We start from the raw sequence: 18,076 nt of genomic DNA, 5'->3' as shown, positions 1-18,076 counted from the left end.
ATCATTTGTGCTGTGAGCACAAAATATACCAGTACGTAAATTCAGAGTTACCACAGCTTGCTATTCTAGCCATCTGCTTTTTCATACATGCTTAAGATATTCCATCAGAGAAAAAAAATTCAAAATAACATTTTAAAGCATGATATCATGCGCCCCTCAAAGACATGAAAAATACAACATCTGAACTCACAATGAGTATGTTATAAATAGTAATAAAATTTAAGAGCACTAGTTGGGAAGTATTAATTGTTCTGCCAAAGCAAGCCAAGGGTTTAATAGACATGAGGCCTCCTCCTTAAATAAGGAGAAACAAATCACTGAGATTGTTTCATGTGTACACTTTGGTAAAAATGTTATATAGAGAGTATCTAAGACTTGTCACACTATCACTAAAGATGTTTAAGTATCTTTTAATATCAGACTTCAACTCTAAACAACGGGCTATTCTGGCATCGATGTTGGAGGCTGGGGTCTGGCTTTGGTGACTTTGATGCCCAGTGCTATTGCAATGTCTGTGGATGTGGCAGATTCTGCAGAGCAGGATATGGATATGACTCTGGGTATGGTGGTTATGGATACAATGCTGCCACCCAGATTGTTATGGAAGATACTGGGCCTCTGCTTTCTACTCGGAGTTGGGACCTAAGATTCTTGGGAAAATGATCCAATAACAAAATACAACTCTTCAAATGTTGTGTCCTTTCAAATATATCCCCCGCTCATAGCAGGCAGGGAAGATGAATTACTGGCTTTACAAGCTTGTTGGCATAAGATTCAAGAGCTGTCTGTGTATATCTAGCTGTTCAATAGCAATTTGTATTTACTCTATAAATACTGGATATTTTCCTACAACAGTTATTTCTCCTTTCATTCTCAAAGGTACTAATTTTTCATCTGGATTTTCTGTGGTGTATTTTACATTGGGAAATGCCTCTATAATTATTTTCCAATAGATGTGTTTAATGTGACATTGCAATATGGTCTTAACTTTAGTCATATATCTTAATAAGTTTCTCCTATTTTATGATATTTGAAATGAAGGCAACTGTTTTTCTTCTCAAGGATACCATTTATTCCTATTGTTAAATGAACAAAAAACAAATATCATAGATTGAGTTTGAAGGAGAGACATAACTGGTCTCTCCCAGTTGCTAGTCTCCTTCTCCCGGATTTCCAGTCCCAAGGAGGCTTATCAATCTTCACTGAAGGTACTTATTTGACAATAAATATGACTTAAATGACTTTGAGTTCTTAATCAAAATTTATGTTGGTGTGAACTCTAATTTATGGCAATAATATTTAGGTGCTAAAGTCCCTGGATTGGAATAATAAATAGTCTTGATCACAACTTTATTTGGTCACTTGGCCTCTGGTTACATCCATTATTCTGAATGACTTAAGGGAAATTTATATCAAGGAGCTATGTGAAGCTTCATATTATATCACAAAACCAGAGTCTACTAACCCTATCACACATTCCCTACTATTGATTCTGTTTTGACTAGCTGCCTTGTGAGTCATTCGTAGGGTGAGGATAATGTAATCTGCTCATTAGCCAGCACTTTTGGGGACTGCTTTCCTTTTCCATGGACTCTTGTTATTTTTCACTGTTTTATTGCTTTAAATGAAGCATGTTAACAGAATGTATTGAAGTACTATGCTATGTATCAAAACCTTGGATTTACTCTTTTGGAAATCTAACAGAAAGTCATAATTTCAATTCAGGCATTACCATGGTAAATGAGTTGAAAATTGCACTAATGCATGTTAGAAACATTTTGAAATTAACCTGTTGGGAAATTTTATATAAATCACGATTAATCTAAATCATAGCTTATTAATTAGAAAAAATATACTTTGTTTTTCATTTTAGCACTTCTAATGTGTGAGTAGTGTTATCCAACTGTGGTTCTTTTTTTGTTATTGTGTGAGTGTGACAAGAGTCTTACACTGTTGCCCAGGCTGGAGTGCACTGTTGCGTTCTCAGCTCACTGCAATCTCCGCATCCCAGGTTCAAGCAATTCTCCTGCCTCCCAAGTAGCTGGGATTACAGGCACACGCCACCATGCCTGGCTAATTTTTTTTTTTTTTTTTTTTTGGTAGAGACAGGGTTTTACCACGTTGGCCAAGCTGGTCTTGAACTCCTGACCATCTGATCTTCCCGCCTCGGCCTCCCAAAGCGCTGGGATCACAGGCGTGAGCCACCGTGCTTGGAATTAAAAATGTGGTTTTAATTCACATTTTCCTAATAATTCTGATACCTAATGATGTTAACACTTTTTATTTATTGGCTATTTGCACATCTTGCTTTCAATGAGCCCAAATCATTGGGATGCTTTTCTGTTGACATTTAGGTAGTAGCAGATCTTTACAGGTGATATTTGTATCTATATCTATATCAATGTATATATTCTTAGTTTTTGATTCTCCTAATCTGTTTACTGTTAATAAAATTAATTTCACTATGTTTTATTTCATAGCCAGTGCCTTCACTGTCCTATAAAATTCTAGAAGCTTTAGTAGTTTAGCTATCATGCTTAGATCTATAAAACATTTTAAATTAATTTCTGTGTATAGTATTAAGTAGTTATTAAGGCTATTTATTTCCTTGTTCCATGTTAATATTCCATTGTTTCAGCACCATTTGATGGAGTCTTTTTTTTTGCTTTAGAGTCTTTGTAGAAAAAAGGTCTATTTCTAGACTCTAATTTTTCCCATCGATCTATTTATGTATCCTCACATCAATACTGCACTCTCTTGATGATTCTAGTATAATCAGTCTTGACATCAGTTAATATAAGTTGTCAAACTTTGTTATTTTTTAAAGATTGCATTGTGTATTCTATGTCCTTTGGATTTCTTTATACATTTTAGAATATTTTGTAAATATACAGGCAGTTTGATTATGATTTTGCTAAATATATAATTTGGGAATATTTAGTCTGTTGTCAATACGTAGACATGATATACCCTCATTTTAACAGTTCTTATGAATTTCTTCAAGCATTAATTTGTAATTATCAAGGAATATGTCTTTGTTACTTTTACCTGTATTTTATGTTGTCTGAAAATATTGCTAATATTTTTGCATTTTATTTTCCAATTTTTCATTTATTATTGCATCTTGAATTTGTAGATTGAGGAAAAAACTGTATAAAATACTACTATTTCTTTTAAAACCGTTGCTAGAATTCACCATGTTGACCTGCAGTTTTCTTTGTTAGAAGTCTGCCTTTCTTTTTTATTTTTATTTTTATTTTTTGAGATGGTATCTCACTCGCTCTGTCACCCAGGCTGGAGCTCAGTGGCCTGATCATGGCTCACTGAAACCTCTGCCTCCCAGGGGCATTATTTCCCATTCTTCTACCTCAGCCTCCCGCATAGCTGGGTTTACAGATGTGTGCCACCGCACTCAGCTAATTTTTGTATGTTTTAGTAGAGACAGGTTTCACCATGTTGGTCAGGCTGGTCTCAGACTCTGGACCTCAAGTGATCCACCTGCCTTGGCCTCCCAAAGTGCTGTGATTACAGAGGCAAGCCACCATACCTGGCCTGCCTTTCTTGTTTTTACATAAATTTAATTTTTTAAAGAGATGTAGCACTTTACAATTCTTTATTTCTACTTGTGTTAGTTTTAGTTAACTTTTATTTTGAGGAATTTGTTGACTCCTTCCATGCAGTTTGAGTGTATTTTGCTGCAGAAAGCAGTAGAAAACATTTAATTCCTATCTTATTTGGCATTAGTAAAGACTTTAGAAAATCAGGCTAGTTTATATTCTGTTGTATTAGTCTTGCCCGGGGTAGGGCCAGCACTAATGTTTTGGTTGACTTGGAATTGTGCTTCTAACTAGAATTTTGATATATCTCAATAGAATCCAAAATTGAGATAATAGAATAAAGTCAGAACATGAAATGTTTTGTGACTTTTTATATCACCCTAATTATCTTAATGCTGCGTGGTGATCTCTTCCCGGGAAAACTTCAAATACATCCCAAGTTATTATACAGTATGTTCTCAAAAATGAAATGTGGATACCAGGCTGTGGAATATCAAATGCCCATTGGTATCATGTGTAAACCCTTAACAAAGAAAAATATATATTTAATCTGGTATAAAAAACATGAGAGACACTTTTAACAAGATGGCTTCCATGTGGACTCAAACTGCACAGAAGTCAAGTAAAATTTGTTTGTATATTAATATTATAACTACCTGACATTTAAGTGATTACAGTTTTGAAAGAGGCATGGATTTAAGGTAAAATTAGGGCCCTGCTTATCTCAAATGATAAGGCATAGTCATGAACATGAGAAATTACAGAAAGCATATGCAGGAAAGAAGTATCACCTTGATGACGATGTCATACAGCTGCTCAACTGGATTATAGAGATGCTCGGAAGCCTACATTAGGTGGAGATTATGTGTGTCCTGATGTAAGAATAGTCTTTGAAATTGCAAATAACATTTCTCATTATAGATACAATTTAATCAGGGAAATCATAATTGAACTAGAAATTAATTTAAAAGTTATATTGCAATGGAAAGTAATTCCATGCATGCTAAACAAAACAGAGAGCCAGTAATATGTGTTTCATGTAATTTCTCCTGAGTAATGAAAATGAGGTAAATCTGAATAATTTACTACATCCATAACATAGGATATAAAACCTCTGCACAGGTGTGGAGATTCATACTTAGAAAGCACACCATCAATAGCAAACCAAGCCTTTAACTCCTAACCTCGTGAATTACTAAGGTAACTATTACAGAGGTCTGGGCTAAGGCTGTGGAGGCTTTGGTGGTCTGGGATGTGGCTATGGCTGTAGATGTGGTAGCACTGTAAACCAGGGTATAGCTGTGGCAATGGAGGCTATAGATACGGCTGCAGCCACTCATCCTGTTAGGGAAGACATGGATTCTTTAGCTTCTATTAAAATTCTTCCTTATCAATCTAACATCTGATTCCCTGAGTGAACTTGATAAGCCTGATTTCAATCATTGGACCTACCTTTCAAAATTATGCCAAGTCTGTTTGTTTAAATTAATTAGCACCTAAGACTTTCAGTACATTTATAATTGTACAAGTTTGTCTCCATCTTTTCTCCTGGATTTCTTTAATGAAGTCTCTCGAGACACAGCAAATATAGCTTTTGTTTAATTCATTTGGCTCAATTATATATGTTACTAAGTATAAATACTACTCAACTTTCAATGTGAAAACTAAAACACTATCTGTGTATTAAATATTTATTTCACACAATGATAGATATATGAAAAGGACAGTAACTTTAGACTGAGTTGAATGATGATTCCTTGAATATATGTAATTTTTTTGGAGAGTGTCACTCTGTTGTCCAGGCTACAGAGTGCAGTGGTGCGATCTCAGCTCACTGCAGCCCCCGCCTTCAAGTTTCAAGCAATTCTCATGCCTCAGCCTTCCTAGTAGCTGGGACTACAGGCATGTGCCACCACAGTTGGCTAATTTTTGTATTTTTGCTGTAGAGATGGGGTTTCACCATGTTAGCCAGGCTGGTCTTGAGCTCCTGGCCTCAACTGATCCACCCACTTCGGCCTCCAAAAGTGCTGGGATTAAAGGTGTGAGCCACCATGCCTGGCCAAATATAAGTGATTTTTATTTCCTAGCTTTTAATTAGATAATTTTTAGATTTAAACTCAACAACAATAAAAAATTCAACTCCAACATTTTGGAACTATATGTTTATGGTAATAAATAAAAGGGATTTACATGGTTTTAATTCTATACAATTATATTTATCAATGCAGTCCAAATATATAAGTAATCCATTTCTTCTTTCAAAATGTGTTGCTTATTCAGCCCTTTTGTGGTAAGAAAGGAAGAGTGCTAGAACAAAATATTTCTCTAAGCTTCCAGGAAAGAAAATATATGTTTCATGGCTTTCTTGATTCTATATAATCTTCTTTGATCTATTCTCTATTGCCTGTCATTTAACTTAGAATTATCATGAAAATGGTTGTGTTATAAAGTTACTAAAAGTTTTTCAAATTAGGTGATTAAAATATATGTAGTATTAAAAATAATTGTTTTAATTAGTTTTTTTATGTCACAGTTCCTCTGTGGCATTCAATGATATGCTTTCTTTTTACAATCATCATCATCCTCATGACACTAAAGCTTTTTACAATTGCAAATGGAAAATAAATGGCTGGATATAATCAAGAAATGGGTCCCTCTGCACTTTGCAGCTTTAATTGATGACAGTCATCATTCATCCAAAAGACTTATTGTTTTGTTTTGTTTTGGTAAAGTAGATTTTAAATCAATTACCATTCACCAGAAAGCAATTCTTTCTTTTTTTTAAAAATTTTACTTTAAGTTCCAGGATATATGTGCAGAATGTGCAGGATTATAACATAGGTATACATATGCCATAGTGGTTTGTGGCACCTATCAACCTGTCATCTAGGTCTTAAATCCCACATGCATTAGGTATTTGTCCTAATGCTATCCCTCCCCTTTCCTCCCACCCCCTGACAGGCCCCCGTGTGTGTTGCTTCCCTCCCTGTGTCCATGTGTTCTCATTGTTCAACCCCCACTTGTGAGTGAGAACAATGCAGTGTTTGGTTTTCTGCTCCTGTGTTAGTTTGCTGAGAATAATGGCTTTCGGCTTCATCCATGTCGCTGGAAAGGACATGATCTCATTATTTTTTATGGCTGCATAATATTCTATGGTTTATATGTACCACATTTTCTTCATCCAGTCTATCATTGATGGGCATTTGGATTGGTTCCAAGTCTTTGCTATTAAGTAGTGCTGCAATAAACATACGTGTGCATGTGTCTTTATAGTAGAATGATTTATAATCCTTTGGGTATACACCCAGTAATGGGGTTGCTGGGTCAAATGGTATTACTGGTTCTAGATCCTTCAGGAATCACCACACTGTTCTCCACAATGGTTGAAATAATTTACACTCCCACCAACAGTGTGAAAGTGTTCCTATTTCTCCACACTCTCGCCAGCATCTATTGTTTCCTGATTTTTTAATAATCGCCATTTTGACAGGTGGGAGGTGGTATCTCATAATGATTTTTATACGCATTTCTCTAATGATAAGTGATGATGAGCTTTTTTTCATATGTTTGTTGGCCGCATAAATGTCTTCTTTGGAGAAGTGTCTGTTCATATCCTTTGCCCACTTCTTGATGGGGTTGTTTGTTTTTTTCTCGTAAATTTGTTTAAGTTACTTGTAGATTATGGATATTAGACATTTGTCAGATGGGTAGACTGCAAAAAATTTCTCCCACTGCCTGTTCACTCTGATTCTAGTTTCTTTTGCTGTGAGGAAACTCTTTAGTTTAACTATACCCCGTTTGTCAAGTTTGGCTTTGGTTGCAATTGCTTTTGGTGTTTTAGTCATGAAGTTTTTGCCCATGTCTCTGTCCTGAATGGTATTGCCTATGTTTCCTGCTAGGCAAATAACTTAGAAGCAAGAGCAAACCAATTTAAAAGCTACCAGAAGACAAGAAATAACTAAGATCAGAGCAGAACTGAAGGAGATAGAGACACAAAAATCCCATGAAAAAAATCAATGAATCCAGGAGCTGGTTTTTTGAAAAAAAATTAACAAATTAGATATTCCACTAGCTAGACTAATAAAGAAGAAAAGAGAGAAGAATCAAATCGACACAATAAAAAATGATAAAGGGGATATCACCACTGATCTCACATAAATACAAACTGCAATCAGAGAATACAATAAAAACCTCTACACAAATAAACTAAAAAATCTAGAAGAAATGGATATATTCCTATACACACACATGCTCTCAAAACTTAACTAGGAAGAAGTTAAATCCCTGAAAAGACCAATAACAACTTCTGAAATTGCGGCAGTAATTAATAGTCTACCAACCAAAAAAAGCCCAGAACCAGATGGATTCACAGCCAAATTCTACAAGAGGTACAGAGAAGAGCTGGTTCCATTCCTTCTGAAATTATTCCAAACAATAGAAAAAGAAAGACTCCTCCATAACTCATTTTATGAGGCCAGCAGCATCCCGATACCAAACCTGGCAGAGACATAACAAAAAAAAAAAATTTCAGGCCATTATCCCTGATGAACATCGATGCAAAAATCCTCAACAAAATACTGGCAAACTGAATCTAGCAGCACATCAAAAAGCTTATCCACCATGATCAAGTCGGCTTCATCCATGGGATGCAAGGCTGGTTCACCATATGCAAGTCAATAAACGTAATCTGTCACATAAACAGAACCAATGACAAAAACCACATGATTATCTCAATAGATGTAGAAAAAGTCTTCGATAAAATTCAACATCCCTTCATGTTAAAAACTCTTAACAAACTAGGTATTGATGGAACATATCTCAAAATAATAAGAGCTATTTGTGAGATACCCATAGCCAATATCATACTGAATGGACAAAAGCTGGAAGAATTCCCTTTGAAAACCAGCACAAAACAAGGATGCCCTCTCTCACTGCTCCTATTTGACATAGTATTGGAAGTTCTGGCCAGGGCAATCAGGCAAGATAAAGAAATAAAGGCTACTTAAATAGGAATAGAGGAAGTCAAATTGTCTCTCTTTGCAAATGACATGATTCTGTATTTAGAAAACCCCATCGTCTCAGCCCCAAAACTCCTTAAGCTGATAAACAACTTTAGCAAAGTCTCAAGATCGAAAATCATTGTGCAAAAATCACAAGCATTCCTATACACCAACAACAGACAAGCAGAGAGCCAAATCGTAAATGAAATCCCATTCACAACTGCTACAAAATGAAGAAAATAGCTAGGATTACAACTTACAAGGGACGTGAAGGACCTCTTCAAGGAAAACTACAAACCAGTACTCAAGGAAACAAGAGAGGACACAAAGAAATGGAAAAACATTCCATGCTCATGATAGGAAGTATCAATATCATGAAAATAGCCATACTGCCCAAAGTAACTTATAGATTCAATGCTATTCCCATCAAGCTACCATTGACTTTCTCAGCAGAATTGGAAAAAACTACTTTAAGCTTCATATGGAACCAGAAATGAGCCTGCATAGCTAAGACAATCCTAAGCAAAAAGAACAAAGCTGGAGACATCACGCTACCTGACTTTAAACTATACTACAAGGCTACAGCAACCAAAATAGCATGGTACTGGTACCAAAACAGATATACACACTAATAGAACAAAACCCAGACCTCAGAAATAACACCACACATCTACAACCATCTGATCTTCAACAAACCTGACAAAAACAAGCAATGGGGAAAGGATTCCCTATTTAATAAATGATGCTTGGAAAACTGGCTAGCCATTTGCAGAAACTGAAACTGGACCCCTTCCTGGGGAAATTCAATAATACAAGGACAAAAGAAGTGAGAGCTGGACCAAACGTTAGATTATTACAGATTGTACCGTGCTGCCCCCTATAGTACAGGTGAGGAAATGCCGAACAGTTAAGTGATGCCTAGAGTTAAAATCTAAGTGTCAGAATCAAGACCAGAAAGCAGTTCACCTGAACCTAATGCTCTAGTCCATCATTCTGAGTCTCTTTCACTGCATAATTCCAAATCTGAATGCCATCTGGAAAGTTCTTGTAATAATACTGTGGATGGTTTCAATTTTGGAGCAGAGTATATGGAGACTAATTTCATCTCTTAGATTAACTATGTTTTGTTGCTGTTGTTTTTAAAATTTTTCTTGTTAACTTTTATTTTGTTATATATAATACATTTCTGAATTGCTAACTTAGCTTTACTTGAAGGCAAAAACAGAACAAATAAGCTCAATTCTCAAGATTATTTATTTTTATGAGAAATACTTGGGTTTGTTTATGCAATGTAAAGATGAAATATGAACAAACAACTCAGACAAATCTTGTTATTTCTCTCTTTAGATGCTGTACCTTCACAGGGGAGGGCAAGGTAGATAAATTTTGGTAATTTCATTAAAGGAATTTTGACCCTATAACTGAATTTCAGATGAAACTGCTCTATTCTCATACAGGTAAATATCCTCCCAGCCTGAGTAAAAGTATTAAAAATTTGCAATTAAAAGAAAGATCAGTATAATTATAATGAGAAAAAGCACTTGTGGCATTGCTGGTATAATTCAATATTAACATATTTTTGTAACTTACATTTTTATATATTATTAGTTTGTGTCTGAGTTAAACGAAGTCTTTGGAATTTATAACAAAAGCTTTCTTTCTTTCCAGGTAAAAGTTACTACTTATCCCAAGTAAGAACATATTTTCTTCTTCCTTATCCATTATCATAAAGTTATTAAGCATATATTCCAAAGTAAACTTCCTAAAAGTGAAAAGAAGGAGAAAATATAAAACATCATTGTTCTATCAACTTTGGGTCTAATCGACTTTGAGTCTAACAATCTCTTTCAGCATAAAACCAATATCACTACAAATGAATATATGTCTTCATTTTACAATGGATGCTTTCATTTTACTATTTGTTCACTTCGAAAAAAGGACAAAATATTTGTTCTATATATTTTGTATATAAAATATGTAGATTTATATATTTTATTTTAGTATTAATCATTTACTGCTTACGATCATTAATTGGTCTTGTGGAAAATTATCACATAGTCTATTTCTTTAAAACATTCTAATTCTTATTTGGCTATTGAGGTTTTCCATTTATATCTTGTTTGGTTTTATATCTCAGATGTATGCATTGTTTATGCATCCCAAACAAAAATTAGCTATTAAACACTCTTACATTATCAGGCTGATTTATATGGACAAACTGTGGTATCCTTAATATAGTTATTTGTGATTTTGAGTTATTTGTGATTTTATGGCTTCAAAAGGACTCACTGAGAACTCAGCTTATTGACTGTTTCAAGTTCAGATGAGAAATAAGAATGAACCAATATTTGGATAAAAGAAATGTAGCAAATATTGGATTAAATCCTACTCTATAAATGGAAAGACTTATTGAGCTATTTTTCTGTCTTAAAAAGGTAGCTCACTAAGGCGTAGTCAGGGTTGTGCACAGATTGTGGTTGCTGTGGCAGTTACTGTCAATTTACTTAGAATTTCTTCAATAAACAATTTTTAATTCCCTAGTCTGTTGCTTAGAAGAACTGAAGCATTCCTTTTAGGAAATTTATGTTTGATAAAATACTTATAAATCTCACAAAAACTCACCAGCATGTTCAAAGTCATGTAAATTAAATGAATTTTTAGTTGTCGAAGCCAAGAGACAGGTGCTGCATGGAGATTAATCAAGAGTGGTCTCAATGTTGTATCTGTTTCACTAATTCAACAAAGTCAGCTGAGGAACTCTATGAAGCCCAGGGCAAATTTCTTTACATATGTTTCTCTATTCTGTGCCATTTCACCATGGTGCCTTTATTTTGAAAACTTTGAAGACAATTTCTATTTTAGGATACCTTTTAAATTTCAGAAAGCCATAGGAGTTGGAGTACATTTTAAAAAACCCATCCCCTCAAGTATTTATCTGTTGAGTTAACAAACAGTCTAATTTTACTCAAGACATTTTAAAATGTACAATTAAGTTGTTATTGACTATAGTCACTCTATTGTGCTATCAAATAGTAGGTCTTATTCATTATTTCTAAGTATTTTTGCTGGGGTGGGGAGTTGAGGATGTTTAGTAAGTACAAAAAATAGAAAGCTTTAAAAATGATATTTTAATGAACTATTAACAGATCAGTAGGCAGTGGTTAGAAATTACCTCAGAATAAATGAGTACAGGATAGACATAGAAGAACATCAGAATCACGCCTGTAATCCTAGCACTTTGCGGGGCCGAGGCGGGCAGATCACGAGATCAGGAGATCAAGACCATTCTGGCTAACATGGTGAAACCCCGTCTGTACTAAAAATCCAAAAAAAATAGCCAGGCGTGGTGGCGGGCGCCTGTAGTCCCAGCTACTGGGGAGGTTGAGGCAGGAGAATGGCGTGAACCCGGGAGGCGGAGCTTGTAGTAAGCCGAGATGGTGCCACTGCACTCCAGACTGGGCGACAGAGTGAGACTCCGTCTCAAAAAACAAACAAACAAAAAAATCAGGAAAGATGTTACAGTGAATACAAAGAGGAGATAGAAAAAAAAAAGCGTTGAGATAAGTCGATGGAAGACAGAGGGAATGTATGCAATAAACTTCTACCTGGCTGTTTCTATAGACATTAAGAAAATGGGAAGAAGAATAAAAGCTGAAATGAGAAAGGAAATAGAGGTCATATATACACTACTGAAAAATGATAAAGAAAGAAAGTAATTGACTAGAATGTGCAAAACAGAGGCAGATGCAATCTGCAATTTTACCAGGACTTTGAATAAAACCAATTATAAAGGAGAGTTTTAGGACTTGAATGGAAAACTAAAGTGCTACTCTGATAAGTCTGCGTAGGAGATGGATTTTGTGCCCTCAATTTCTGAAATTAATTCTTATGTATTTTGCAACCAAAAGGTTCTGAAGCTGGTGTGCAAAGTCAAAAATAGTATAAAAGTTATTGTGAATAAAATGCTAAAAATCAGCATACACTCTCTTTTTTTGAGTCCTTTGGCGATTGTACACAGCAGGGCATTAAAATCATTTTGATTTCAAATGTTTTCCTGTATTGTGCATATAGGCACTTTCTGAAGACCTCACCTTGATAAATAAGTTTGCTTTTTAAAACTATAGATTTAACATCTGTAAATTGAAAAAACAGCTGTAAATTTAGTTGAATATGAAGTTATCAGTTTGGAAGATGACGGACAAAGGAAATTATTCATTATAAAAGGAATACCATAAAGTGTAGATGATGTAATACACCTGGTAATAGGCAATTCTGTTGAGCATTTGGAATGTGCATATTTTGAACAGTAAGCCCTTTCTTTTCATAAAAGCAAAGCAGTAAGTTCAATCGTGTCCTGAATAAGACATTAAGTAAGCTGAAATATTTTAATGAGAATGAGGGCATCTCCCTACATCAGAAGACAATAGATAAATGAGTTGTAACATCAAACGTAATACAAATAACTATAGCAAAGGAGGGTATACAGATGACTCATCACACGCTCTGACCAGGGTATATAAGCCTCCTACACATGCTGGTGTTCACACTCAGGATCTTGCCTTGAGCAGCATACCAACTCACCACTCCTGACACCATGAACTACTACGGCAACTACTATGGAGGCCTGGGCTACGGCTACGGAGGCTTCGATGACCTGGGCTATGGCTATGGCTGTGGATGTGGCAGCTTCCGCAGACTGGGCTATGGCGGTGGCTACGGAGGCTACGGATACGGCTCTGGCTTCGGAGGCTATGGATACCGCAGCTGCCGTCCATCATGCTATGGAGGATATGGATTCTCTGGATTTTATTGAAATCCTTCCCTGACAACCTAACATGAGGGGACATAAGAAGATCACCCAAACCTGACTGCAATAACAAACAAACGAGGTCACCCTGGATCAAGCCAAGATCAAGAGCAGTTAGCATCTAAGAGGTTTAAGAATACCTATCATTCCATAATTCTTTGCTTTATGTCTCTGGATGTGTCTTACTTGTACCTTTATAACTGTGGGGTTTCTCTGTTCCTTTTAGAATAAATTATGCTAACTGAAAGCAAATACACGACTTTTGTTTTTTGCTTGACTCAAAATGGCAAAGTGGTTATTTGTAATTATATCCAGTGAAAAAAGAACAAACTACTATACATATAGAAGTATATTATATATAACAAAATAATTTTGTATATACATGCACCTATCTATATAGCTGTATGTATGTGTGTGCATGTATATATTCACATTCAAAGGTCACAGTTGACCCTTGAATAATGTAGGGGTTAGCAGTACTGATTCCCCCATGCAGTTGAAAATCCACATATAACTTTTGACTCTCCAGAAACCTAACTACTGGTAGCCGACTGTTGACTGGAAGCCTCACTGATAACATAAACAGTTGATTAACACATACTTTGTGTTTTATATGCATTATATACTGTATTCTTACAATAAAGTAAATAAGAGAAAAGAAAATGTTATGAAAATAATAAGGAAGAGAATTTATATTTACTGTTTGTTAAGTGGAAGCGACTCATCATAAAGGTCTTTATCCTCATTGTCTTCACATTGAATAGGCTGAGGAGGAGGAGGAACGGGGACGATGGTCTTGCTATCTCAGGAGTGGCAGAGGTAGAACAAAATCTCAGTATGAGTGGATTCACTCAGTCCAAGCCCATGTTGTCCAAAGGTAAACTGTACATGCACAAATGAAAACCATAACACTCAATTAAAAAGAAGGCTTTTTCTTTGGAACACTGCGCCATATTCACCATATCTTTTTCATTTCAATGCTTTCAGTGAGATCATGTTAGTGTTTAAATTCAGCCTTGAAATACCAACTTCATAAACTTTCACATTTAACTGGAGACCAACATGAAGAGTATGTATTTCTATAGTTTGTTCAAAATGTATGTTTATATGGCCCCTTTAATGGTAAGAAAAGTGCTGATAAAACAAAGTATATATCTGAATATACACTGAAAAAGAACTTATTTTTGTGACTTTTTTTTTTTTTTGAGATGGAGTCTTGCTCTGTCACCCAGGCTGGAGTGCAGTGGTGCAATCTCGGCTCACTGCAAGCTCCACCTCCCAGGTTCACGCCATTCTCCTGCCAAGGCCTCCCAAGTAGCTGGGATTACAGGCACCCGCCACCACGCCTGGCCAATTTTTTGTATTTTTAGTAGAGAAGGGGTTTCACCATGTTAGCCAGGATGGTCTCGATCGCCTGACCTGGTGAACCGCCCGCCTCAACCTCCCAAAGTGCTGGGTTGACAGGCGTGAGCCACCGCGCCCAGCCCTTTTGTGACTTTCTATCATGTTTTATTCCTGGTCCATTGTGGTGTGACACGAAGTTGTATTTTCATATTATCAGCACATTTATATTTTGCAACACACCTAGGAAATATAGAAATCATTGCCATCACTTGTGAAGTAATTCATATTAAGGCTGTGATTGACCTGAAGCTTTATACACTCTAGCCAAGTCTCTTTTAACCTTTAACAAGCAAATGTGGGCCTTTTCGTGTTGGTATTTCAGATAAGTATCTTGCCCATGAAAAATATGCAATAACATATTATTATGTTTCAAGAATAATATATTTCAGTACTGAAATAAAAGCGAATGTCTTTAGTTGGAGTCAAGCAAATTCAAAAATGCCAGGAAAATAATATAAAAGAACTGTGGAGCATGCAGGGGAACTACTATAAAGTTTTCCCAGTGCTTACCCTAATACCATCTTGAATGGGAAAAGATCTCCAAAAAGTGAAATCATTTGCTAAGGATCAAAAATGGCATGACAAGGAGAGCCCAGACCAGAACCCAGTTTTACTGAGTATCAGGCATTCTACTTCCCCATGCTCACTGTTCCATTCATTTTTTACTTCTCTTCTTGTGTGTTGTCACATGAAGCATCTCGAAGGCTCTGTTCATGTGCGTCTGAAGAGTTTAATTGTCATGGCCAAATGACCACCTCTATTTAATTTCATTTGTAAACACTCTGTTGTAGAATCTTGAACTTAGCAATTTCTAATGTAGCTTTATCTGTGTAAAAACAACTTGTTAATAGTGCAAATCCAATATTTTAATATTTAAAAGAAATCATAACGCATTTGAAAAACTCTGGCTTGTTTACTGAACTTATGGATGGATTTGCTTAGCTAGATGCTATGACCAATTCTTTCATTCAATTCAAGTGAGATGTTGCAGTTTTGCCATAAATAGATCTCGGTAAAAATATCTTAGTGTCTTCATTGCAGGGCTGTACTATTTAGTTTTACTGAGTATGACAGAATTTCACATGAAAACTTTTTACTCCCTAAGTGGTCAATGGCATCACAGTCTGAAGAAAGGCTGTCTATGTCAAAAGAAGAACAATTAATATAACCATCTAGAGAAAGTACCACTTTTAGTTTAATGCAATTTCATCATATTATTACATCTCTAGTTGTTAGATTGTATTGATTTGTGTTGAAATTAAAAGAATACCTTAAGAATACATTTCCTTCCAAGGAAAAGCTGTCGCCTGGTCTAGAGAAAATGCATCATAGGATCATTAGCCCCGCAACTGAGCAAAGATCTGACAGAGCAAAATAGGCAGCGTGATAACATTAAACCTGTTTATTTGTGATTTTATAGCTTCCAACTGAAATAATGAGAATTTAATATTCAAGTTAGCCACTGTCTTTTGATTTAGGATGCTTCATAAAAATGGAACAGGTTCTGAAAAGACAAGACAAAGAAATTAAGAATAAGATGTGAGGTAATCAAAAGTTTCTCAATTAGGACAAAAAAGCATTAAACATAAAATACAAATATTAACAAATTTTATCTGATATTAAGATAATCTATTTACATATAAACATTAATTGAAAGTGAAAAAACAAACCACATGTTGGCAGAAAATATTTTCAAAACCAAACTTTTACAAAATACCTGTATCCAAGTATGTAAAAAGCTCCCACAAATCAGTGCTAGAATATAACAAACCCACTTAAAAATGGACGAAATACATGAGCAGGTACTTTTAAAAAGAGAATATCTAAATGGCCAATACACATATAAAATGGTGGTCAGTATCATTACTCATCAGGCAAAAACTAAATTAAATCAATACTTGGATATTACTAAATGCCCACAAGAATAGTCAGAATTAAACAGTCTAAAAATGACAAGCATTATCAAATATGTGGAACAACTAGAATTTTCTTACATTGCTCATGAGACTATACATTTCTACATTGCTGATGAGACTGTAAATTTAGAATACTATTGACAAGATCTTTTGAAGCTGTTGTTAAAAACTGGAAAGAAGATTATCTCTAGGGAATGATATTTGCCATAATGGAACAATGGAAACATTTTGGAGATTAGAGTGTGCTTGGTGTAGGTAGTGTAAGCACATATGCAAAAATTCATCAAATTCATCACACACACACACACACACACACACACACACACACACACACACACACATACACCTTTTTCTTCTCAGGAAATACCATGCTAGTCCACTAAGTTGTTAAATGTTTATTAAGGTATAGGATATATAAAAAGATAATTTAAATATAAGGGCTCTTTGAAATTCAATAAGATACCATTAACATTAGAAATGTTTTCAGAATCTCCAAAATGTAGGTATAATATTACAAGATAACAGGCAGAAGAAATAACTGAGGGTGCAAGTCCTCAGTTGACTCCAAGAATTTAGTCACATACAGCCACAGGTGACCCCAAATATTGTTAATTCAGCTGTGCCCTTAATTTCAACTTTGAGCTTTTAAGTTCTTTTTAACCTTATATGATCTCAAATACAGTGATCAGTTATTTTTAGTCTTATAAGTAATTTCCAAATGTTGTGCTTTCACAACTGAATTTGCATGCCTCTTTGCAATAATTACCTTGTAGTAACAACACAATACATAAATGCTGAAAGGATGAATAAATTCTAAAGTCTATGCCTCTCAAAGGCATGAGTAATTCTCTGGCTACATCTGAACAATAGGGATTTAAAGATGAAATGAAGGCTGGGTGAGGTGGCTTATGCCTCTAATCTCAGCACTTTGGGGGTCGAGGGAGGAGGGTCACTTGAGCCCAGTAGCTTGAGACCAGTCTGGGCAAAATAAAGAAGACAAAGAAATGAGCTCCAATAGCATCTGACTTTAGAGGAACATATAACCTTCATTTTATTTCATTTGTAATATGCAATATGTCTAGCTATGAAGAAATCTATTTAGGATCTGGTATGCCAAGACTTTAGATACAGCAATTTCTTCTCATTAAGTGGTGTGATAACTTTTAAGGGCCACTCCAATTCAGCAACAAAGCAAACTCAAACAATTTAACGATTGTGAGGGCCTCTCCTTGTGCCAGGGAAAAATGAATGACTTGTGTTAAGTAACTAATTTAAAACACACACACAGACACACACACAACAAACAAACAAAAAAACAAAAAAAACAGGTACGCATGTGACTCATCACATACTCTTATCAGGGTATATAAGCCTCCCTCTACACGTGCTGCC

At 35.4% G+C, this 18,076-nt stretch overlaps 1 protein-coding gene and 2 pseudogenes across 1 annotated transcript; all 3 read left to right on the top strand.

Annotated features, from left to right (window-relative positions):
- Positions 411-662, top strand: KRTAP19-10P (keratin associated protein 19-10, pseudogene; annotated as a pseudogene).
- Positions 4,753-4,955, top strand: KRTAP19-9P (keratin associated protein 19-9, pseudogene; annotated as a pseudogene).
- Positions 13,101-13,585, top strand: KRTAP19-5 (keratin associated protein 19-5). Its single transcript, NM_181611.3, has one exon. It carries the CDS (start codon positions 13,152-13,154, stop codon positions 13,368-13,370), a length of 219 nt encoding a protein of 72 aa, NP_853642.1. The 5' UTR covers positions 13,101-13,151; the 3' UTR covers positions 13,371-13,585.
- The last annotated feature ends 4,491 nt before the right edge of the window (positions 13,586-18,076 follow it).

The sequence above is a fragment of the Homo sapiens genome, chromosome 21, assembly GCF_000001405.40.
Source record: "Homo sapiens chromosome 21, GRCh38.p14 Primary Assembly".
Taxonomy (NCBI): Eukaryota; Metazoa; Chordata; class Mammalia; order Primates; family Hominidae; genus Homo; species Homo sapiens.
The sequence above is the reverse complement of the archived record's forward strand: the minus strand, read 5'-3'. Positions and strand labels throughout refer to the sequence as shown.

Bases quoted from the DNA above. Each gene is read 5' to 3' on its own strand.
- KRTAP19-5 (NM_181611.3), top strand. From the start codon at position 13,152: ATGAACTACTACGGCAACTACTATGGAGGCCTGGGCTACGGCTACGGA.